The sequence below is a fragment of the Homo sapiens genome, chromosome 12 (assembly GCF_000001405.40).
Source record: "Homo sapiens chromosome 12, GRCh38.p14 Primary Assembly".
Classification (NCBI taxonomy): Eukaryota; Metazoa; Chordata; class Mammalia; order Primates; family Hominidae; genus Homo; species Homo sapiens.
Window position 1 is genome coordinate 96,272,851 of NC_000012.12, and position 26,256 is coordinate 96,299,106.

At 35.3% G+C, this 26,256-nt stretch overlaps 1 protein-coding gene across 5 annotated transcripts in view; it reads right to left on the reverse strand.

The window, feature by feature from the left end:
* Positions 1–5,374: 5,374 nt before the first annotated feature.
* Positions 5,375–26,256, reverse strand: part of CDK17 (cyclin dependent kinase 17) — a 122,215-nt gene continuing 101,333 nt past the window's right edge. For 3 of the 5 annotated variants that reach the window (NM_002595.5, XM_017019406.2, XM_017019405.2), the window contains exons 7-17: positions 26,019–26,133; positions 24,777–24,871; positions 24,420–24,482; positions 22,149–22,272; positions 16,317–16,437; positions 13,814–13,911; positions 13,193–13,298; positions 10,753–10,795; positions 9,659–9,749; positions 7,958–8,035; positions 5,411–7,429 (exon numbers count right to left, since the gene is read on the reverse strand). In NM_002595.5, coding sequence (NP_002586.2) covers positions 7,392–7,429; positions 7,958–8,035; positions 9,659–9,749; positions 10,753–10,795; positions 13,193–13,298; positions 13,814–13,911; positions 16,317–16,437; positions 22,149–22,272; positions 24,420–24,482; positions 24,777–24,871; positions 26,019–26,133 — 972 coding nt within the window. In that variant the 3' untranslated portion in view covers positions 5,411–7,391. Of the gene's footprint in view, positions 8,036–9,658; positions 9,750–10,752; positions 10,796–13,192; positions 13,299–13,813; positions 13,912–16,316; positions 16,438–22,148; positions 22,273–24,419; positions 24,483–24,776; positions 24,872–26,018; positions 26,134–26,256 lie in introns of all 5 variants that reach the window. The other 2 variants (NM_001170464.4, XM_017019407.3) reach the window with 2 other exon arrangements.

Consider the following 26,256-nt stretch of genomic DNA (forward strand, 5'->3'; position numbering starts at 1 on the left):
GATGCACACCTGCACATCTAGCCCCCACACCCACTCTACTCAACAGAGGTTTAGTTTACAGTCTTTGAAATGGTAATCTTTGAAAAATGGGTTTTCAAATTAGTGGAATTTTCCCACTTCTCTTAGGGGGAACCCACCAATGAAAAATCCTCCCCATCATCACAGATTGAAATTTTATATTCTCCTCTAATCAAAGTAGCTTTATAATCAGTGGCTTGGTCACCTTCTTTCTGTTTGAGTCTAACAGAAAATTGGTAACTTCAGTGATTTTCTGGGTCAGTGATGGAAACTGATTATTGTAATAACTTCAGCCGGGAATGATGACAGCTCAGGGAAACTCCTATCTGACTAAGCCCAGAATCTGAATTTAAGATTAGAAAATAGTTTCAGGCCAGGCATGGTGGCTCACGTCTGTAATCCCAGCACTTTGGGGGGCCGAGGCAGGTGGATCACCTGAGGTCAGGAGTTCAAGACCAGCCTAGCCAACATAGTGAAACCTCGTCTCTACTAAATATAGAAAAATCAGCCAGGTATGGTGGCATGTACCTATAATCCCAGCTACTCAGGAAGCTGAGGCAGGAGAATTGCTTGAACCTGAGAGGCGGAGGTTGCAATGAGCTGAGATTGCACCACTGTACTCCAGCCTGGGTGACAGAGCATAACTCCATCTCAAAAAAAAATTTTTTTTAAATAGTTTCAGCTTTACACTGAGCAAGAGGGGAAAATGTTGTACCTTTCTCTTGGGTCTAAAGTAATGCATTAAAAACTTTGGAAATTTCAAGTTTGGAACATAGAAAAGTATGCAAATTCTTCAGCAGCCTTGCTTGAGGGCTTGTGTTAACACTTAAAATTCTGATATGGATGAATTTGTCAATCAGAAAGAATCAATGTAAGAATCTAGAATATTTAAAAAATAAAACCACTGACATTATAAATAATAAACTCGAAGGGATTACATTTGGGGATAAATATTTTAAAATGATAGGAACTGAAAATAACTAAAAATATACAGGCAAAGAAAGAAGAAAATAAAAATGGTACATTACCAAAAAAAAAAAAATCAAATACAAGGCAGTATGTAGAAACTGAAGAACAAAAAGCACATAAGACATACAGAAAACAGCTAAATGGCAGAAGTCCTTCCTTATCAGTAATTATTTTAAATGTAAATGTTGTAAAGTCTCCAATTAATGGGCAGAGATGGGCAGGATGGATTTAAAAAATGATCCATCAATATGCTATCTACAAGAGACTCACTTTAAAAACACAGACACTGTATTTTTACTTTGAAGAGGCTGAAAATAAAAGAATGGAAAAAATATTCCATACAAATAGTAACCAAAAGAGGTATGGGGTGGCCATATTTTTGTCAGATAAAATAGACTAAAGTATCAAAAAAAAGTTACAGGAGACAAAGGACATTATATATTGCTAAAAGGTTCAATCCACCAAGAAGATAGGTAACAATTATAAACACATATGCAGCCAGTAACAGGGCCCCCAAATATATGAAGCATGCACTCACAGAACTGAAAGGAGAAATATGACAATCCTGCAATAACAGTTGGAGATGTCAATGCTCCCACTTCAATAATGTACAAAAGAGTCAGATCAGTAAAGAAAGAGAGGAACTGAACACTGTGAACCAATTAGACCTAACAGACACATACCAAACACTCTACCCAACAATATTTTTCATAGAATGACACATACTTTCTCAAGCATACATGAAGCATTCTCCAGAACAGACCATATGTTAGGCCACAAAACAACTCTTAATACATTTTTAAAAACTGAAATCATACAAACTATCTTCTCTAACCACAATGGAATGAAACTAGAAATCAATAACAGAAATAAAAAGGATTATAAGAGACTACTATGAAAAAGTTTATGTCAGCAAACTGGTTATAAGAGATTAAATGGACAAATTCCTAGAAACACACAAACTACCAAAACTAACAAGAAATAAAAACTCTGAATAAAATTATATATAACAAAGAGACTGTATCATTAATCAAAACCTCTGAACAAAGAAAAGCCAGGACCAGGTCACCTCACTGCTGAATTCTACCAAATATTTAAGGAAGAATTAACACCAATCCTCAAACTATTCCAAAAAACTGAAGAGGAGAGAACACTTCCTAACTCATTCTATTAAGCCAGCATTACCCTGATACCAAATCCAGACAAAAACACTATAAGAAAAGTAACTACAGGCCAAATACCTTATGAATATAGGCAAAAATACTAAAAAAAATTTAGCAAACTAAATTCAGCAGCCTATTAGAATTACATACCATAACCAAGTAGGATTTATCCAAGGAATGCAAGAGTGGTTTCACATATGAAAATCAATGTAATACACATCAAAAAAATATAGAAAACAATATGATCATCTTAATTGATGGAGAAAAAGCATTTGAAGAAAATCCAATATTCTCAAGATAAAAATACTCAATAAACTAGGGATAGAAGGGAACTTCTTTAACACGTTAAAGACCATACATAGAAAGACACAGCTAATAGCATACTCAATGGTGAGAGACTGAAAGCTTTGTCCCTAAGATCAAAACAAGACAAGGATATGTTCCTTCATCACTTCAACATAGTACTGGAAGTCCTAGACAGAGCAATTAGGCAAGAGAAAGAAATAAACAGCATCCAAATTATAAAGGAGGAAGTAAAACTATCATTCCTTGCAGGTAACAAGATCATATGTATAGAAAACCCTAAAGACTCTACAGAAACCCTGTTAGTGCTAATAATCAAATTTAGCAAAGCTGCAGGATACAAAAGGAACACACAAAAATTACTTGTATTTCTATACACTAGCAATGAAAAAATCCAAAAAGAAATTAAGAAAACAACTCCATCTACAATAACATCAATAAGAATAAGATGCTTAGGAATAAATTTAAGAAGGCAAAAGACTTGTATGCTGAAAACTACAAAATGTTGCTGAAATTATAGATGACCTAACTAAATGGAAAGAAATCTTGTGTTCATGGACTGGAAGATTTAATATTATTAAAATTGTAATACTACCCAAAGTGATCTATAGATTCTAATTTAATGCAAACCCTATCATAATTCCAATGGTGTTTTGTTGTTGTTGCAGAAATAGAAAATCCCATCTTAAAATTCATATTGAATTTCAAGAGACTCTGAATAGCTACAACAATCTTGAGAAAGAGAACAAAGTTGGAAGACTCACATTTTCTGATTTAAAACGTTCTAAAGACAGTAATCAAAACATTGTGCTACAAACCCTTATGGACAGACATATAGACTAATGGAACAGACCTGACAGCCCAGAAATAAACCTCACATCTATGGTCAACTGATTTCTGAGAAGGGCACCAAGACCACTTAATGGGGAAAGGACAGTCTTTTCAACAAATGGTGCTGGAAAAAAAAATTGATATTCATATGCAAAATAAAGTCGGACCCTTACTTTGTATCACACATAAAAATTTAAATGGATCAAAGCTCTAAATCTGACAGCTAAAAATATAATAAACTCTTAAAGGAAAATATAAGAGCAAATATTTATGACCTTTGAAACGTGACAATACTTTCTTAAATCACCAAAAGCACAGGCAACAAACGAGATAAAATAGATGTCGTTAAATTAAAAACTTTTGGCTGTGCGTGGTGGCTCACACCTGTAATCCCAGCACTTTGGGAGGCTGAAATGGGCGGATCACAAGGTCAGGAGTTCGAGACCAGCCTGGCCAACATGGTGAAACCCCATCTCTACTAAAAACGTAAAAATTAGCTGGGCATGGTGGCACATGCCTATAATCCCAGCTACTTGGGAGGCTGAGTCAGGAGAATCGCTTGAACCCAGGAGGCAGAGGTAGCAGTGAGCCGAGATTGCACCACTGCACTCCAGTGTGGACAACAGAGCAAGGCTCCGTCTCAGAAAATAATAACAATAAAAATAAAATAAAATAAAACTTTTGTGCAACAAAAGGACACCAAAGAAAGTGAAAGAGAACCCAAAGAACAGGAGAAAATAATTACAAATCAAATACCTCATAAAGGTGTAACAGCCAAAATACATAAAGAATTTTTAAACTCGATGACAAAAAGACAAGCAACCCTATTTTTAAAATGGACAAAGTACTTGAATAAACCTTTGGATAAAGGTTTATCCAAAGCAAATAAACAAATAGCCAAAAAAGTATGAAAAGATGTTCCACATCACTAAGCATTAGGTAAATGCAAATAAAAACTACAATGAAATACCACTTCAACTTATTAGAATAAATGTAATAAAAAGGAGGAAAAAAAGAATTAGCAAGGATGAGGAGAAACTGGAACTCTCATGCATTACTACTGCAAATATCAAATAGTACAGCCACTGTGGAAAACATTTTGGCAGTTCCTCAAACAGTCAAACACAGAATTATATGACCCAGCAATTCCACTCCTAGGTGTATGTATTCCCCAAATAATTAAAAACAAGGACTCAAACAGATGCTTATACCCCAATGTTCACACAGCATTATTCACAAAAGCCAAAAGATGGGATATCCTAGTGTCCATCAACAGATAAATCGATAAACAAAATGTGTATAATCATAATAGAATATTATTCAGTCATGATAAGAAATGAAGTTCTGATACATGCTAAACATGGATGAACTGTGAACATTATGCTGAATGAAATAAGCCAGACCCAAAACGACAAATATGGTATGACTCCACTTATTTGAAATACCTAGAATGGGCAAATTCACAGAGACAGAAAGTAGATTAGCGGTTACCAGGGGCTGCGGGGAAGGGTAAAATGGTTCAGAGTTTCTGTTTGGAGTAATGAAACATTTTAGAAGTAGACAGTGGTAACTGTTATACAACTTTGTGGCTATAATTATGCCACTGAACTGTACACATACAAATAATTACAATGCCAAATTTTATGATATATATATATATATATATATATATATATATATATATATATATATGTCTCAACACAATTTTTAAAAGATAAAAAGAACCTACATAAATTGTCCCGAGTCCAAAAGACAGATTATAACATGTTAACAAATAGCCTTTCAAATGAAAGTTGATAAAGCCTCAGACAGAATGCAGCCACTCTATACACCTAGAATGACACATCCAATGTGTGTTCACAGTACCACTTGGAAAGAAAATATAAAAGGCATCTTCTCTTACCTTTAAGAATCTTACCAGTTTAAGAGGAATCACAGGTATTCAAAGTTCCAAGTTTCGGAGTTTCAATTCCCTTCACTGCAGTGTTTTCAGGATCTGAATGGTGCTCGAGTATCAAAAATAAAACAAAAAAACAAACACTTGTTTGCTTGTCAAATTCCTTAATAAAATGAAGAAATACCCCTAGGAATTCCTAGGAAGAAACACTTTATGTAACAAATGGATATATATTTTCATCTTTTATACGCAAGAATTAAGCCTATGAAAAGCTATAATGTCAAATTTGCAACAAATCAAATATACATTCTATGAAGTGACAAATTTGATACTTTATAATTGAGAGTGCTATAAAAAAAACCCAGCAGAAATTACTAAGCAAATGATTGGCACAAACAGAAAACAATAACACCTCTAGCACAGTGAGACTTCATTATCTTAAGAACGACCCATAAAAGAAAAGGACCCCACTCGGCACAGCCTTCATCCCCAAGAAAGAACTGTGACTCAATAAAACCACATTTTAACAACATGGAGATTTTGTTATTATAAATTTCAAAACAAAATGAAGGAATTTCCACATATTTATAACCTTCAAAGTACAATATTAATACATGTCTGTCAGTTAGAAAGAACAGCAGTTTGTTAGGCTACAAGGTTTAACATAAAACCAATTTACAAATGTGAAAAGCAGTAGTGGTCCAATATTCACCATTACACATGAATCTGTTTCTTCCAGAATTTTTTAAAATTAAAATTTTAGTATCGTGAAATATTAAAATAACACCCCAAACATGCCACAATCACTATTCACAAATAAAGTTAAAATGAAATATACAAAAATCCACTTAATACTGTTAAATAACAACAATAAACTACAAGATTTCCTGAACAGAAATGGTAGGACCCCTGAATGTTTTACAGTGAATTTCAGGAAAAGAAATTAAGTTATGACTATTTTCATGATATATAAGGCAAAAATTTACACGACCATTTCAAAATATACCAATTAAGATTTATAGTTTGTAAGATGCACTAAACAAATAGTCCTTAAAAGTGAACAAAAATGCTTAAAATACTGTTACCAACACCAAAGTGTGTTTATGATGTTCAAAGAGATGCATAATTAAAACTAATATTTAGTATCTCTGGTAAACAGATAATACCCACAATAATTTCAAGCAATCCTGTAAGTTCTCATTTCTCTTGTTTGTAATTTATCATGGCTCATTTCAAAGACATATTACAGCTTTCAGCTGATTCCAAGTGAATGTTATTGAAACACATAGCCCCCAAATGAAAGAAACTATTCCCCAATGAAATATCATCCTTTCTAATAAAATAAATGTATTTAAAACAAACAAAGCAAGACCTTTCGCGTTTGAACAGACTTCTACGGTTAAGTTTTAACTAAATTTAAAACACAATGTAAAATAGGTAAGTGTATTAGTATACAAATATCCAGTAATATGCAGTAGACGTTTCTAAAGTGAGGAACACATAAAAAATAAATAATTTTGGAGCTTTAATTTGTTGGTGTCTAATGTGAGATCCTCAAAATGTCAGGGATTCACTTGCTTGAATCAACTTCTGCATCACATGCTTATCTAAACGTAATGTGCTTGTCAATCTCTTAGCTACTCTATTTGCCAATGTTCATTAAGAAATTATATAGTATAAACTTAAAGTGTTCAAGATGGCTCACTTATTTTACTATTAAGCAAAGCTAAATTTACATTCCAGGAAACACTGCAGTTTAATTTTAAAAACAAAAAATGCAGCAGTAAAACAATTCGTGAGGAGAAACAGATGCATTCACATATAATAAAGCCACTGCAACTTCTTCAGGCATTCAATTGTTGTGTTAAATAAACAGACAGTAGTTATTTAGCAGCAATGATTCCGCAATAAATAATGCACTGTGTTTCTCAGTCCTGCACAAAAATTGCAGCTATAGTTACATCAATAGCTGTAACCTACTGGCTCTAATGGCAGAGAAGACCTTAAAACCGACTGTACAAAAAATTGTCACACTGTGACAACAAATATAAAAACAATCTGTAGGTCTGAAATAAAAAGACTCCACTGTGAAGAGGACAGTGTAGACAAACGGAGATTCCAAGTCCACCAAAAGAAATAATTGCCTTCAGTTCTGAGTCCTTGATTGGTAAGAAAGGCTGGGGGCTGGGCTTGAAACCATGTTATCAGACTTAAAAGAGCATGCTCTGTCTTCTGTTCTTCCCATGTCCTAAAATATAAAGTCATTTTATGAGGCAGTTCAAGGTTCAGTTTTATCCCACATACAGTTATTTGGTGACTAGGAAGCTAATGTTCCCACCAGCAAAAGCTAATATTCCATGGTAAGAGTGATCAGCACTGTCTTAAATGACCCTTCTGTTGACGGGGTCAGTCTACAGCTTCTATGCTTCGAAGTGATGAACCTGATGACTAGGGAAGCACAAGATGTGTCTTCTGCCTCAGGTACCAGGGATGGCGTGTGCAGTGATCAAGCCAGGTCACTTGTAAAAGGTCTTTGTGCCATCTGCAGCTTTCAGGATCCCTGACTTGACTGAGTCAGATTTTTCTCTGAAGATTTACTGAGCTGCCCACATCATACAGAAAAGTGAGTACGTGCAATGCTAAACATAAACAGTTGTGGAATGCACTGTACATTGGTTTTTACATCAATAATTTTACTGATCAATTTATAAACCAAAAGCTTGGTTCCACGCAAAAATTCATGATCGACACGTGAAATGGTTTATGACAAACACACCTGTCTCTGGATAAGAAGAATTTCGAAAACCCGGGTCCTTTTGCAACTGAATCTCTTTCAAACTGAATATTGATACACCTAAAATGCATAGACAAAAATTATTAGGTGAAGGTCTAACATTAAAACAAACACAACCCTACTATCAACAAATGTTTATAAAGCATATACTGATTCAATATGAAACCATTTTACAAGGTGATAGCCCTGCTGAAATTTTTCCTTTTTGTCCCAGTGTGTTGAGGAGAAAACTAAATGAATGAAGCAATCCACCTTTAGAACCTTTCTTCTTCCAACTCTGTGTCAGAGCAGGCTGTGGGCAAGTGTTTCTCTGAGGAGAATATACACTGTCTGTTCCAGGACTTTCTGGGGTTGGGAGACCCAGTCAAAATATATTATTATACTAGGTGTTAATTCTCTCTGTCCTTTCTCTGTCTCCTTACAATGACATGAAGGTACCAGGCCCTCAAGCTATCTTTGGAATTTTAGCGAAAAACAAGGAAAAGGTTTGTATAACCATAACTGCCTACCTCAAAGTAAAACTTGGTATTAATAATGAAACACAAATACCTTTTTCTTTTTGAGACGGAGTCTCACTCTCTCACCCAGGCTAGAGTGCAGTGGCATGATCTTGGCTCACTGCAACCTCCGCCTCCCAGGTTCAAGCAGTTCTCCTGCCTCAGTCTCCTGAGTAGCTGGGATTACAGGTACGCGCCACCACGCCCAGCTAATTTTTGTATTTTTAGTAGAGACGGGGTTTCCCCATGTTGGTCAGCCTGGTCTCGAACTCCTGACCTCGTGATCCGCCCGCCTTGGCCTCCCAAAGTGCTGGGATTACAGGCATGAGCCATCGCGCCCAGTGAAATACAAATATCTTTAAAAGAAAACTTGTAATTTATCTTTTTCATTTCCAATCTCTGTCAGAGAGGTATTCTTTCATTTAAATATATCCAGTAAAGTTGAAGTGAAAAGTATTAAGGATTTTTTATTCCAATTAGCTTTGTCACTGACTGCTACACAAGCTTTGATGAATCAATATTGTCTAATAAATGAGAATAGGAAATTAATGAAAGCTTTTGGCAGCTTAGTTCCCAAACATTCTTCTAATTCCCCACTCACCTTACTCTATTTTAAAGTAAAATACTGTGGTAATCTAAAAATAGAATGTTAAGAGTAAAATCAATGTTATTCAGGCATGGGAAATCTGCTATTACAGTGACTTTGACAATATGCTCACTGCTGTCATGGGGATAGTAAAGTCAGTGTGACCACAATAAAGGAAAATCATCTTTGTATCTTAAGAAAAAATGTATTTTCACAAGAAAACAATTTATGTTTCGGTTATGCTTCATTAGTTTTTGTTTGAAATTCACTTTTAACAACGCTAAATCGAAGCTAGATTGGGCCTAGGGACAATGCCTGTCATCAGATGGCATGTTTCAACTAAAGTCCAATAAGATTAATGATCCTTGCCTAAGTACTATTGGTTTCCTACAGAGGAGTGACAATGTGCTCAGTGTTACAAGAAATAACTGAATCATAGGGAAATAAGACACACACCTCCCTTCAAGAAATTCTAATCTAACTATAGAGAAGACTAGAATCTTAGGCTTAAAAATCAATAGCCATCTCCCCAATCACCCCAGACCCTAACCTTGGACAAATAAAAATAAAGCAGGGAAAACACTTTAGGATTTCTCTTACTTTCTGGTAAAGCATGTATTCTTGGTCCCAGACTTCGAAAGTACACATGTTTCATGGCCTCTTCAGCTGAAACCCTTTTCTTAGATTCATACTGTGAAAAAGCAAAGAACTGCTTCATTAGCTTTTTCTCTAATTACTGCAAAAAGTAGGAGATGGGCAAATTAGCATTTAGAGCTACTTAAAAAAAATCTTGATTATTTAATATGATGACTATTTTTCAATCAACAATTTGGAATACTCCAGTTATACTCTAATTTGAGTCGCTGCTGAGATTGTGTAATAACATCTCAGTTCCACATTTCTAAGATAAGGCTGGATCTTAAACAAGAATTTACATTGCTTGTATTTTCTGAAGCAAAGAAAAATTAAAATATTTGACCTGTGTAGTTACTTCTCTTCATGAACACCAAAGGACTGGTGGACATATACCCAGTATTTTTATGGCAGTCATTCTTAACGACCTATCCAATACTCATTTCCCTTTTTTTTTTGATGATACAACCTAGGTTTGTTCAAGGTGTCCATCAACTCTGATAGATGAATCATGAATCATAACTGTTTTAAATTTTGGCTAATTATGACAATTCTGCTCCCCAATTCCCAGTCTTTCCTACAATTAATGTTCTGGCCAATAAGACTTGGAAAGAAACCTTGTAGGGGTTTCTGTAAAGCTTTTGCTTCCAAGTTTCAAGAGGACTAATGTGGCTGGTACTACCCTTATCGTCCCCCCTTATTCCTGCTTTGGAGGGAAATATGAATGGCATTTGGAGGCAGAGCATCCTCCAAAGGCTGTACGTATAAGGAAAAGAGAACATAAGAGAGCATAGAGAGCATCAATTGCAGAGAATGTGGCCTTGACACAGCTGATCAATGCCAGTAACCAACTACCTCAGACTGTTGTAGGTGACAAGAGACCCAGACACATTAGGAGAAACCATGTTTTTTTTTTTTTTTTTAACTTAAACATGTGCCTTAAGCATAGATAATTTTATTTGTCATTAACAATACCGAGGAAGTACTACTGAGCCCATTCTACACATGAAGAAGCTGAGGCTTAACAACCTATTTAACAATTACTGTAAGAACTGACTTACCTGAAGAAATTTTGTTATCAACTCAATTCCTTCAGAGTCTAACCTAGAAACAACAAAGAACAAGTAAAAATTTATGCTCTCTTAGCTGATAAAACTTTTCAGATAAAACTATTTTCTAAGTGTTTTAATCTGCTAAATTTAAATGCCCTAAAATAGTCACTCTTGTTGTCTTCAAATAGACACAAATCTGTTTTAGTCTTAAAAGACTGGCCTTGCTATTTGTTTAAGGATAAGCCATAAATAACTTGGCTTCAATTTGAATTTTCAATATCCAAGAACAAATTAAAGAATTTTAAAAATCACCATGCTGTCTCAAAACAAAGAAACTTCAATATTAAGAAAGCTTACATATTGTATCACTTTTCGCAGTCTTTCACTAAACGCAAGTATATAAGAGCATCATTTTCCTATTATATAGGTGAAAACAGAGACAAGTGACCCCAAAATGTATCACTGTTGTTCAAGACAAACACAGAAATGAGCTATTCAGCAAATTTTTAGAGTTGTCTGCTTAGCACCGGGTACTAGAAGGTATTGAGTTCAATTTAAATATGCTACAATAACTTCATAAAACTTCATCAATGGTGGCCAGGTGCAGTGGCTCACGCCTGTAATCCCAGCACTTTGGGAGGCCGAGGCGGGTGGATCACGAGGTCAGGAGATCGAGACCATCCTGGCTAACATAGTGAAACCCCGTCTCTACTAAAAATTAGCCAGGCGCAGGGGCAGGCGCCTGTAGTCCCAGCTACTCGGGAGGCTGAGGCAGGAGAATGGCGTGAACCCGGGAGGTGGGGCTTGCAGTGACCTGAGATAGCACCACTGCAGTCTGGCCTGGGCGGAAGAGCGAGACTCTGTCTCCCAAAAAAAAAAAAAAAAAAAAAATTCATCAATAAGGGATATAAAACTAATGACATAATAAAGATGAAATTAGTATAACTAGGGGTAGTAGGGTTAGGGATTATCTTTTTTTTTTTTTTGAGATGGTGTTTCGCTCTTGTTGCCTAGGCTGGAGTGCAAAGGTGCGATCCCGGCTCACTGCAACCTCTCTACCTCCTGGGTTCACGTGATTCTCCTGCCTCAGCCTCCCGAGTAGCTAGGATTACAGGCATGCACCACCACGTCCGGCTAATTTTTTGTATTTTTAGTAGACAGGGTTTCTCCATGTTGGTCAGGCTGGTCTCAAACTCCCAACCTCAGGTGATCCGCCTGCCTTGGCCCCCCTAAAGTGCTGGGATTACAGGCGTGAATCACCGTGCCCGGCCTGGGATTATCTTAATGGAATAATCTCTTGATCAGAAATAACAGGTTCTATCTTACACTGCCTTTCACTGGTAGAAGTACAATTATGAATAAGGTAACGTTTTTTTCCAAGTGCTCTCAAGTGGGTCCTGTGGATGCTGCAGTCTAGACATTCTATGTAGTTTGCCATTCTAGCACATATCCAGAGTTCCCTGGGCACAAACTAGGCACTAAGTCATGGAGACTCTGCTTCAAAGAAAAGCTTCAACCTTCTACACTGAACATTACCAAAAAATAATTAAAGGACAAAAATAGAATTTATGCTACTTGGGAGAGACATGCAAAAAAAGCCCAGCAAGTATTATTATTCTTCCTAAGAAAATCTAGTTAGAATGGTATTAGTTGCTATAGTAACAATAAGAGTACCAACTCACATAAATACTTTAAAAATATTTTTGGTGTCATAACTGTTTTGCTCTTCCTTCCTTAGCTTGAAAATAAAAGGAAGCATAACAAGTGTGTTATGTTGTGAGCAATGTGAATGGCTTTGGGTTAAAATAAATGATGTCCTTATTTGGTATCTTGGTGACTTTCAAAATTTGGGGGGGTTGGGGGCAGGGAGATGGAAAATGCAGTCAAAGGGGTTATTCTATGTTATCTCCTGAAAATGTAATACATTCTACAAGTAAAAATGTTCTGACTCAAATTTTATTGGGAGCCTTGGATTGATCTTGGGGTAGGTCTAAGAAGAAACTTAAATGAATGGCTGACATTTAGATGTTACATTTTGCTAAGGAATTGGACAGAGTTTATATTCTTCAAATATGAATTACATCATTAACACTGGTCAAAATACTGATAGGTTACCTTGTGTTATAGAGTCAAGATTTTACTTACATAACCCTTTCTTAGGTTTTTGTTAAGTAAATACAGAATAATTCTGTAGAAAGCAAAACAGGAATTTCATCATAATCTCTGTGGTACGGAATAAGGCATTAATCAATGTCTTCTTTCTGGGAAAAGTAACTACATAAACTCTAGAATTCTAAAACATATACAGTTCAAAATTAAATAAGATCCTAAAATACGTAAGGGTTATGTGTATTATGTATTTTTTCCTGAATCCTTACTGTGGCTAATCCTTCAAAAGATTGAAAAGAATCATGTGTTTTCCCCCCTTTCACATAAGAAAAAAAAATACCTGGGTGCGTGGTTAATTAGAGGCTGTGGTTTATATTTTGGAAAGTTGTAGTTCTTGAACTCCTCATTTGAAGAAATACCTGGCCAAGTTTCCTGAGATGGAGTTCCTGAATTAAAAAAAAAAATTAAATATATTTATAAATATATATAAAATTTATATATAAAAATTATATACACATATATATAACAAAGTGTCTTAGAGAATAATTTACATTTACCAGATGACTTAACTATTTCAACTGCAATTGAAATGACAGAAATAAACGTACATGGACTTTTTGTTTGGACTTTGCAATGATACTGTAAAAAGGATGCCTGGTCCTTTTTCTATCCAGTTGATACCAAAAAAGTTAGCAATATTCCTTAATAATATGGTGACATCCAATTTTCCATACTAATTATGTTCTGTTTTTCCATAAAATCTTTATTGCAAAGATAAAACTTAGCAGATGAAGTTACCTAGAAGGATCTATCTTCATAGTGTCCATTCTAATTATTCTAACTAACAGCTGTTTATGTTAGTCTCAGTATCTAATTTTAAAATATGTATTTTAGAGATACAGTCTTATCCAGCTAGTCAATTATGGGTGCAAAATCACTGGGAAAAGATTTCTTCTGTTACCTAGCAGTCGGAAAATTAAGTGCAGTTCATCTTCCACGGTTGATCCTGGAAATAAAGGTCTTCCAGAAGCCATTTCAAAGAAAATGCAACCAACACCCCTTTAAAATAGATCATGAAAATAATTTAGCAATTCATTTACATATTATGAAGCACAAGAATCTTTTCCTTAAGGTTGCCTCTCTGCAGAATTTTGCACTAGCCTGTCGGAAAACCTCTTGAAGGGATATTTTAGATCTAACTAATTTGTTCGCATTTACCCTATTTGTCTCAATTTCTATATTGCTATATCCATTTTTCCCACTTAAAATGTCCAACTCTCCTTTGCATAATCCTTGAAGAATAACACTAACAACAGCTAACAGTGACTGAAGATTTACTATGTGTTAGAAATGTTTTTTAAGTGCACCAATTATCTCACTGAATCCTTGTATTAGCAATAGTGTAGACCATGGATTGAACAGCAAAGACAGGAGTGGGGAAAAACAACTGAAGAGATATTATGGTAATCTAGGAGATGACAGTGAGTGAAGCTAGGCAGGAGAAATGGAGAGAAACAAATGATTCAAGACGTTTTGATGCAGGAAGCAGAGGTAGAACATGTTGGTACAAGGCGGTGTGTGTAAGTGAAGGAAAAGAAAAGGATGGTGGTTCAGAGAATAGAATGGTGGTTCTTAGAACAGTCATCTAGGAACTGTATGTACACACACAGTTTAAGACATAATCCTTCCATTAAAGGGCTCGTAATCTAGCAACTATATATAAAAGTTAATTTTACATATTAAGTGTTATATAGAAAGTAAAATGATATAGTTGCTATGGAAAATAGTATGGTGGTTCCTCAAAAAATTAAAAGTAGAATTACTATATGATCCAGCAATTCTACTCCTAGGTATATATCTAAAAGAACTGAAATCAGGCCAATGCAGGAGGACTGCTTGAGCCCAGGAGTCTAAGACCAGCCTGGACAACATGGTGAGACAATGTCTCTTAAAAAGAAAAAGAGAAGGAGAGAGAGATAATTGAAAGCAGGGTCCTGAAAAGGTATTTGTATACCCATGTGCACAACAGCATTATTTACAATAGTCAAAAGGTGGAAGCAAACCAAATGTCCATCAATGGATAAATGGGTAACAGAATGTGGAATATATATTTAATGGAGTATTTTTAGCCTTAAAAAGGAAGGAAATTCTGGCATACACTACAACGTGAATGAACCTTAAAGACATTATGCCAAATGAAGTAAGCCAGTCATGAAAAGACACACACTGCATGATTCTACTCATAAGTGGTACTTAGAACAGTCAAATTTATGGAGACAGAAAGTATTATAGAACAGTGGTTACCAGAAACTGATGGTGGGGGAGGGGAATAGGAAGAAATTGTTAAGTGGGTACAGAGTTTTGGTTTTGCAAGATGAAAAAGATTCTGGAGGTAGATAGATAGTGGTGATGGTTGCATAACAATATAAATGTACTTAATGTCTCACAACTGTACACTTAAATTGGTTAAAATGATAAATTTTATGAGTATTTTACAATATTAAAAATTAATTTTAAAAAGTTATACGAGACATTTTACATAAACTGTTCAAGACAGCAACAGAAATCGGTATATGACTTATTACCACATGAAGAACATAGAAAATAAATGCAACCACAGTTCAGAGGAAGGAACTGCCAACAGAGGCTAGAGTATATTCAGGAAAGGATTTATGAAAAGCTGTATTTTGAACGTTACTAGGAATGAGCCCAAGTTAGAGCACCGGAGTGGGCATTCCAGATGGGTGGACTGGTATGAACACCAAGAGCAAAGGTAGGAAAGTCCACATTATTCCTGAGATATAGTGAGTATGCCATTTTGCTAAAAGGGAACATTTGTGTTGAGAAACAGTCTGAAATAAGTTGGAAAAGGTAGTTTAGAGACATCTTATGGAAATCCTTAAGTATCAGATTGAGGAATTAATTGTACCTTATTCTATAGGTAATGAAGGGGGTGGCAATAACGGTGTCTGAGTAGAAGAGTGTCAGGATCGAAGCGGTGTGTGAGAAAGATGACTACAATATTTTGATTATTACTTTTAGTTCAAGTTAAAGCAGAAAGATTTTGGTGAATATTAAATGATGATAAAATGATAATTTTGTTTTAAATTACTATGTATCAGATACTCTTGAGTGTCTCATAAAGCACTCTTCTGAGTGTTCATTTAATCTTAACATCACCTACAACACTTCAAAGTAGTTATTGTTACTATTCCCATTTCCTTAAATGAGGAAACTGAGGCAAAGGCCAGTAATTTGAATAAAGTTAACACATAGTTCTAAATGGCAGAATTGGTATTTAAACCTAGGTAATCTAATTCCCATGCCAGAACTCATTAATCACTGTTACATTATGGCTCTTTAAAATAATATCTCCTTAAAAGTATATACTTATCAATACATCTTGCATTAACAGTTACATTCTTTCAAAATTATAAATGTCAGTGACATCTGTATATATTTACCACATGTCAATCTGTGTTGAGTACTCCGAGGAACCAAGAAGCACATCAGGTGGCCGGTACCATAGTGTGACAACTTCATTTGAGTAGGTCTTTGTGGGAACTGACTTGGCTCGGGCTAGTCCTTCATAGGGAAAATAAAACAAAGGGTTAAGAAAAAGCTTTAATGGATCTCTCAGACCCTATTCTCACCATGACTCCATTCAAAGGGATGCCTGAAATGGTTAATTCGTAGCTTCTTGAGGCTTCACCACTATTAACTTTATGAATTCGTTGAGTGCATGTGGCCCTAAGTAAGCAAATCCTTACATAGTTGAACTAAACAAGAATTCCACAACCAGAGACTGTGCTTACTTTTATGTTTGAATACACCTGGTGAAGTATTCTGGGTGAATCTAAACTTAAGATGTTTTCCTTCTGTCCATGAATCATGATGACAAAATTATTTCTCAGCTGCAATTAAATTAATCCATAATAGGCCAATGACATTGAGATACACAATTTTACTTCTAACGGCTATGAGCTTTTGTCACCTTTTAACCTGATTCCAACTTTCATTTGCTATACCATTTTTTATCAAAAACTGTAAAGTTATTGGTCCATAATCTCATTGAGATTTACTGACAAATCGACTTAGAGACAATTTCCTTGGAATAAAATTACAGTGCTGTTCTGTACTCCCTTTTTAGGTTGTAAGTTACATGGATCATTCTGGAGTAAGACAGACTTCATTGTCCTTGGATATTATTAATTGCTGTTTACGTCAGGGGTGTCCAATCTTTTAGCTTCCCTGGGCTACAATGGAAGAACTGTCTTAAGCCACACATAAAATACACTAACACTAACAACAGCCATGACCTTTAAAAAAAAAAATCGCAAAAAAATCTCATAATGTTTTAAGAAAGTTTACGAATTTGTGTTGGGCTGCATTCAAAGCCATCCTGGGCCATATATGGCCCATGGGCCATGGGTTGGACAAGCTTGCTGTAAGTGATATAAAACATTTGCCATTCCTTTGCTAATTTAATATGGAATCTATTGATAATCCAGAAATAAAGGCTAGAGTTTACAACTTTATCTCTTGAGTCACTAGTGTGAGAGAGTCGCTATTACCTCGAAGCCTCTAAATTATGATCTGAAGAAGCAACTTTAAAAAATATCTGGAAAATTACAAATTTATTTTGCCAAAACAAGGAAGAATTTATTTTTTAGGCTGAGATTGCTGTTATATATAACTTGGTATATCTGATTAAAATATTAAAGAAAAATGTCACAAAAGAAAAAATCAATTTTACTGAATAAGGTTACAGAAACAATGTCAGAAATTTAATTAGGCAGGACTCATATACTATTTCAGTTCAGTATAATGGTGAAAGGTTATAACTGGAACAATGTTGACATTCCTTCATTTAATTACAAGTTTTACTCTAGCATCTCAACTTGGTGAAGTAAGTCCAACAAATTATTTTCATACCAATTTTGGTAATTAATTAACAAGATGGAGGTAGCTTTCTGACCTCTCTTCTTGATATTAAAAGTGGGTTATAGGAAGGCAAAGGACAGGGCTGCAAACGTGCTTATCCTGTAACATACCATATCAAGGCAAATTACCAGTTATAGTTTCCTCAGTATCCTACTCTCCCACTCCTGAGAGGATTCCGAACTATGGTGTTTGTGTACATGGCCTTCTAGTTCACAATTAGAATTTCAATACTGGTTGGAATGAAATGAAACAATCTCTCCTAAACAAAATTAATTAAATGTGATATGGTATTATTATATAAGCCATTTTCTATCATTAGTGAAAATATCTGTCTATATCACTAGTTCCTAGACTTCTGATTTTCACTGATCGTGGGAAAAGGGTAGAATTTTCAGAGGGACAGAGAACAACTTATAGTATAAATACTCAAAGTTATATGACCCTCCTTCACAAGAAGTCATATTTACTATGCAACCAAAAAAAAAAAAAAAAAGGAAGAAATAGAGACAGAATTGAATATACTATCTCATGGAATAATCAGAATTTCTTGTTGCCTTGTGGGTAAAATTTGCCTGGCTTGCATTGTAGAGGTTGGAAGCAAAATTTAAAGCACTCAGAGTATTCCCTGATAAAAGTAGTTGTTGTTTTTTTCTTCCTCTTTTTGAGACAGGGTCTTGTTCTGTCAACCAGGCTAGAATGAAATGGCTTGATCATGACTCGCTGAAGCCTCAACCTCCCGGGCACAACTGATCCTACCATCTCAGCCTCCCAACTGGCTGGGACTAGAGGTGCACACCGCCACACCTGGCTAATTTTGAAATTTTTTATAGAGGCAGGTTTTTGCCATATTGCCCAGACTGGTCTTGAACTCCTGAGCTCAAGCAATCTGCCTGCTGGGCCTTCCAAAGTGCTGGGATTACAGGTGTCAGCAACCGCACCCAGCCAAAGGTAAATTTTTTATAGTCCTTGACATTCCTTTTGCTTTTTTTTTTTTTTTTTTTTGAGATGAAGTCTCGCTCTGTCATGCAGTGGCATGATCTTGGCTCACTGCAACCTCCGCCTCCCGGGTTCAAGCAATTCTCCTGCCTAAACTTCCCAAATAGCTGGGATTACAGGTGTCCGCCACAATGCCCAGCTAACTTTTCTATTTTGAGTAGAGACAGGGTTTCACCATGTTGGTCAGGCTGGTTTTGAACTCCTGACCTCATCTGATCCACCCGCCTTAGCATCCTGAAGTATTTCTCTTCACTGCCATTCATTTTGGGATTGGGAATAAAGAGCATTACATGCAGGTTAGCAAACAAAGAGAAGGAGAAGGAAAAAGAGTGAAAAGGAAATAGTGGCTGGGGGAAGGAAAGAGAAAGAAAAAAGAGAGAGAGAGTAACAATTATTATAAGGGAAATAACAACATAAACTATGCCCAAGAAGAGACTTTATGAAAGCATATGTAAATAGCATATAATTTGTTATTCAAACACAGGTAACCCACACATTTCCTTTTTAAGGAAGGAAATGCAAAAAGTAATTTACTCTTCAAATGGCAAAGTATTAAACGAGCAAAAGTATAGGAATTTCCAGAATAAACTCACCATTTAATGACAGTGAAGAGTAATACTTGAAACACTCATATTTATTAAATTTAATGAAATACTCCAAACATAAAACTACCATAATCAAAGCCAGGTGTGATGGCTCACACCTGTAATCCCAGCATTTTGGGAGGCCAAGGCAGGCAGATTGCTTGAGGCCAGGAGTTCGAGACCAGCCTGAACAACATGGTGAAACCCCATCTCTACTAAAAATACAAAAATTAGCTGGGCGTGGTGGGCACCCCTGTAATTGCAGCTATTTGGGAGGCTGAGGCACCAGAATCGCTTGAACCCAGAAGGCGAAGGTTGTAGTGAGCTGAGATTGCACCACTAGACTTCAGCCAGGGTGACAGAGCAAGACCCTGTCTCAAAACAAACAACCAAAAAACTACCATAATCATTTATGAAAAAAAATTATGAATTTAGTTATGGAAAACTGCATGGGTTTTTAAAAACTAAGTTCTCTAAGAGTATTCAAACTCTCAGAATGCGGAATACAAAAAATTCAAAGCTGCTCTACAAAGTTCCTTCAATATGAAAAAGTTTACTTTCTAGAAGCAAAAAGAGCATTTAATTTTACTTTCAATTCCCTTAAAACCAGATTAGCTAAAAAAAAAATAGATAAATAGCTACAATTAAATTACTGAGCATATAATAAATACAGAGTAATGGTGGCAGGTATATTAAGGGAACGCCTTTCAGTAGTTGCTTCTAAACTCATTGTTCTCAAGACCCATTTTATACTCTTGAAAATTATCAAAGACCTAAAGAGCTTTTATTTTTGTGGATATATTTACTGATATTTGCCACATTAGAAATTAAAACTTAGCAAATTTTAAAATATTATTTTCTCTTTAAAAACACCACCCTTTATATGCAGCATGTATGACATTTTTATGAAAAACATTTTTTTTATAAAAACAAAACAGTAAGAAGAATGGCCTTCTTTCACATTTTTGTAAATCTCTTTTAAGTCTTGTTTTTGTAGAGATGGGGTCTTGCTATGTTGCCCAGGCTGGTCTTAAACTCCCGGCTTCAAGTGATCCTCTCACCTCAGCCTCATAAGTGCTGGGATTACACCCCTGAGCCACTGTGTCTGGCCTAAAGTCTATTTCAATAGAAGACAACTGGATTCCACATCTGTTTTTGCATTCTGTGTGTCGTGATATGTTGCTTTGATACATATCACAATATGTATCAAAATAGATCAAATATACATATCACAACATACATATATGAAGGAAATCAAATCTCACACAGATATGAGGTTGAAAGAGGAGGGGCATTTTAATAGCCTTTTCTGATAAATGTGAATAGTCTTATTTGACACTACATCAGAACTAGAAAGTAAGTGGTCTCTTAAAAGCTATGTGTTAACAAAACCTATAACGATGAACTTCTCATGCTTTTGTTGCACTAAAATTCATTGACCTTGTACTTTAAATGGGTCTTTTATCCATGCATGATTCTGTAATATCATGCATTAGCCATTTGGAAAACAGTGGATCCCTGGGTTATACATTCCAAATGTTTATACACTTTTTCAGCATATTGAAAAATCGTGTTTGTTAACATCAACATCGATCTCATCAGAAAAGTCTCTAAGTATTGAAAAGCCATCAAACTCAAAGCAGATCCAAATTTCCAAACTCTAATTTTTGCTTGAAAACTTGAATTTTATTATTGGCAAGAAATACTGACAGTTCTTTTCCTTGAAATGATAGGCTTCCTTCATTCACTTTCAGGAAAATGTCTGCCAAACACCTAAGTCTGAATAACCACAGTTTGTCTGTCAGTCATTTAAGTAAAAATGGTGTCCCCTCAAATAACAGGGCTAGTTCAATGTGCACTCAAATAATCACATGAGCACTTTTCCCTGAGAAGTAACCACATTATTTCTGTGTGCAGCAAATGAGTTTTATGTACACTTCCCATTTTATCACATAAAATATTAAAAAGAAATGTAGTCAAGGATGGAAATTAAATATAATTAATAAATTTTATTGCTTCATCATGTAAGTGTAACTGACAGTTTTCCCTTTACGTAAGTGTAGTGGTAAAGAATACAATGACGGCCTGGGCATGGTGGCTCATGCCTGTAATCTCAGCACTTTGGGAGGCCGAGGCGAGTGGACCACCTGAGGTCAGGAGTTCGAGATCAGCCTGACCAACATGGTGGTCACGCTAAAAATACAAAATTAGCCAGGCATGGTGGCGCATGCCTGTAATCCCAGCTACTTGGGAGGCTGAGGCAGGAGAGTCACTTGAACCTGGGAGGCAGAGGTTGCAGTGAGTCAAGATCACACCACTGCACTCCAGCCTGGGCTTTAACAGCAAAATGCTGTCTTCAAAAAAAAAAAAAAAAAAAAAAAAAAAGATATATTTTGGTGCCACTACTTTGATGTATAGTTTTATGCATTATTATTTTGGGACCATCATTGCAAATATTAACACAGTGAAATAGGCAAATAACAGATGGTACAATTTTGGTAATATATTTACATTTAGAGGCCTCCTACAAGGGTCTCAGGAGCCCTAGGGGTCTTTGTCCACACCCAAGAACAGCCTGTGCATTTTAGAATTTGCTGCTAATAACCAACATAAATCACCAACCAAAGTTCTGTCAAATATCTTATTCTGTGGGCTACCGAGAAAATTTCCAAACCCACATAAAAGCAATGGCACATTATGACAGTGGTTGATCTTTTAACCATTACACTTTAGAACCTGGAAGTACTAATAAATATCTCATACATTCCATACCAAAATCTGCTAGCTTTAATTCTCCTTTCTCATTAATGAGGAGGTTCTGTGGTTTCAAGTCTCGATGCAATACCTTTCTTCTATGGCAATATGCCAAACCACGTAGAATTTGGTACAGAAACAGCTACAGAAACAAATAAATAAAAATTAGTCTTAAAGATGAGACATGCTTTAGTATAAGCATAAATGATGGTAAGCAGAAAAGCAGCTGGCCTAGAACATTGTAACAGGAAAAAGAAAGTAATTGCATACTTAAGTACAATGTCTTTTTCCTTTTATATATAGTGGCTTTCTGAATTTAATAGTTTATTATTCTATTTGAAGCATCTACCTATTTCTTTTAGTCTAACAGTATCTATGGAAATATTTTTTAAAAAGTAACTTCCTCCTAGCAGTAACAGTTGATTTACTGTGGAAAATGACTTAAAAAAAAAAACATATCCTCATAAACTTACAGGCCTACTAAGGTTTACATAGTTTAATTATAAAATTCTGGCAAAACAACCAACCAACCCCCCTCCCACCCATCTCTCCTTGAAAAAAAACAAAAACAAAAACTCTGATCTGGGGCAGTGTCTTTAAAATAAGGCACTGGAATTGGCGATTTTATGAAAAGTCTGAGGTATCAAAGAGAAAGCTGCTGCATAGCTCTGGCAAATTACTTACTATAAAACTAACCTAAACCAGCTTCTATCACCCATCTCTTGGGTACTTTACTTTCAGCACCTCCTACTTAGCCTTCAAAATCTACTGTGATTCACAAAGGGGCATTAGCACCGTAGTGTTCTGAATGACTCTGAAAAAAGTAATTCCTATAAGGCTAATGGTAGAGTTTTTGCTGTACATTTTGGTAGAAAGAGGGTTACGGAACACATAAGACCTTTGATTCTCTGGGGTTAACAAAAAGAACCTCAAGTACAGAGGATTCAAGAGTTTCCCCTCAGTTCATCTGTAGGTGAAAAACAGGGCATCCGAACACTGAGGCAGCCAAGGCAGCAGGTCAACGGTATGCCTGAATGAATTCTCTGTGCCAGAGTCTCTCCAGTCTACATAATTATGTTTTTAAAACTCTAAAATTACTATTTAAATGAATTCTTGTTACACTTTGTATTTTGAAAGTATAAAGGCCATTTAAACAAATAAATAATAAAACGCTTTCCAACTTAAGCTAATCATGTAAACCTGGCATTAAAGAAATAAACGTCTCAACATTTGTGAAATTATCATCAAGGACCTTGTTTTATTTTCAAATTATTGCCAATAAAAAAAGCAGGAAAAACAAAATTAAAACCAAAAAAATACAAAATGACAGTTATAACACTTTGCAAACAAAAGATGTAAAATAAGATGAAAACAACCCTGACAGAATATATATGGAAGTACATTTAAAGCCCTTTTTAAAAATCCTTAGCAATGTGTTATCCATATGTTCTGAGCTGTCTTTTAGTAACAGAAACTGGCTCTCCTTTATAACCACCAAACTTAATATTTTTTTAAAATGTAAGTTTAAAATTACTACCTACAGAATTAGAAATGTCTGAAGCACACAGCTGCGACAGCCTATTTTCAGAATAGGTTCTTACATATTGTTGACTAAGTTTGGATAAATAAATCTTTGCTAAATTTGGATACACTACTCAGGTCAAAGAAACCTACTGTAAGAATACAAACTATGCTGGATGCTGTTACTCAGTTAATAACTTTTGGGTATCATCTGGCACTGATTTTATGGCAAACATTTTTAGCATTAAATTTTTAAATATGTTGTTGTAAGAAAACACACCAATTATCTTACTCTTCTTCCTGACAGTACAGATTGGTATTTCCAGCATAGTGTTCATAAAACCTGCATGTTCTGGCCTTATTCATTAGTTCTGAAAAGTTGTTGTTTTACAATTAAATACCATTTATTTGGGGAGTTCACTATTTAAAGAAGGCCTTTCACAGAATGCACCCATCATTCGTGTTTATTTTGAATTTTTTTTTTAAAGCAGAATACACCTGTACATATATTCTATATTAGGACAATCAGTTGTAATGTGAAATGTCAAAAGAATGAAGTGGTTCTACAAAAAGGTCTGATCCTAAGAAAGCTATAGTGTAGTAAACAGAAGTTCTGGGTAAATATTGCACGTTCAGAGGACAATAACCTATTTAAAAGGCCAAACAGAAAACCCTGAAGAAGAGTTATGAGGCTGGTACATTTCATTATATAATGGTTCACCTATGCTTTAAACAAAATTTAAAAATTACACACGCAAGAAAACATACCTTTACGTTGTGCATACTCATGATGTTTCCACAGTCATCCATGTACTGTTTCAGGTCTTTATCCTGGAAAAACACAGCACTCTGCTATGTGATACACCATTTTCAGAATGTTGTGACTGGTTCACTTAATAGTGTTTTTCAAAATTAGTTGTTTTTCAAGAAAAGATACTGGATGCACCATACACATAATTTAATGAAAAACTGATAACTAAATAATAAAGTCTCTTGGGCTGTTAAAAAGTCCAATTTAGCTAAGCACAGCTGCAGTTTAAAGAAAAATAAAAAACAAACTAAAAGTCCAATTTACTATGTTTTTCTAAAGTAAAGTTAAATACTGAATTTTTATGAGATGCTTACCAGATACTCAAACACCAAAGTCAAGGATTTATCTGTGTGAACAATGTCATGTAAGGTTACTATATTTGCATGTTTTAAATCCTTTAATAGTGAAACTGCAAAACAGAAAAAGAAAATTGTTTAGTCTGTGGCAGTCTTTATAAAAACCTGAAGTAAGTTGAACATACGAACTGATTAAAAGATTCTCTTAAGTTTAGGTCTTGGGCGGTGGCTCACCCCTATAATCCCAGCACTTTTGAGAGACCGAGGCAGGCGGATCACTTGAGCCCAGGAGTTCAAGACCAGCCTGGGCAACAATGCTATTTAAAAAAAAAAAAAAAAGATTCTCTTAAGTTTAAAGCAATAATTTACCAAGGGGATTGGTTGTAAAAATGTTCATGGAGGCTGGGCACGGTGGCTCATGCCTGTAATCCCAGCACTTTGGAAGGCCAAGGCGGGCGGATCGTGAGGTCAGGAGATCGCCTGGCTAACATGGTGAAACCCCGTCTCTACTAAAAAATACAAAAAAAAGTTAGCCGGGCGTGATGGCGGACGCCTGTAGTTCCAGCTACTCGGGAGGCTAAGGCAGGAGAATGGCGTGAACCCAGGAGGCGGAGCTTGCAGTGAGCCAAGATCTCGCCACTGCACTCCAGCCTGGGCAACAGAGCCAGACTCCCTCTCAAAAAAAAAAAAAAGTTCATGGAAATCAATTTTTTCTTTTATACTACTGGGTTTGATATTATAATACTTAAAATTGTCCCCAATATTATAACATTCTCCATATCATCTTCTGTATTTTTCCTAAATGTTAACTTTTGAAACTTCTGGCATTAATTTAGATATAAATTACAAGGAACCATTTTTCCCCTCCACATTACTAATCAGTTGCCTCAAGCCATTTTCTGAATAATCTTCTTTATAAAATGGTACTATGATATAAATATGTTTACACACTGTTTTTTAATTTATTTAGTTTATCTGGTTAATTTATAGTTACCATGTTCCTCATGTACCAATGTATAACATTTCCCTATGACAAATAGTTGTCTATGATAGTGATTTTTAATGAATTCAGATTTCATTATAAGTTATACACTAATATAATTAATCCCTTTGAGTATTTGTTTTAGAAATTTGCTTTTTAAAGGTTTAATTACATCTTCCAGTCATTTATTACTTGTATATCTGAGCTCTTTTTACTTATAAAAAATAGACACTTATTCCACCACTTTGATTTTAAAATGTTCTGTATAATTATTATACCTTCTCTTATAGCTGTGCAGGGTGCACCTTCTTCATGTTCCAATCGGATCTCTTTTAATGCCACCAAATTCTCTGTCAATTTACTTCTTCCTTTATATACTGTTGCATATGTACCCTATAAAATATATTTTTAAAGGACGCATCAAAAGTATCATAAGAGTCTATTTAATACCATCTTATAATAAAGAGCTCTACCTGAATTTCTAGTTTCTAAGCATTGTTAAGTTCCATCTTGCAA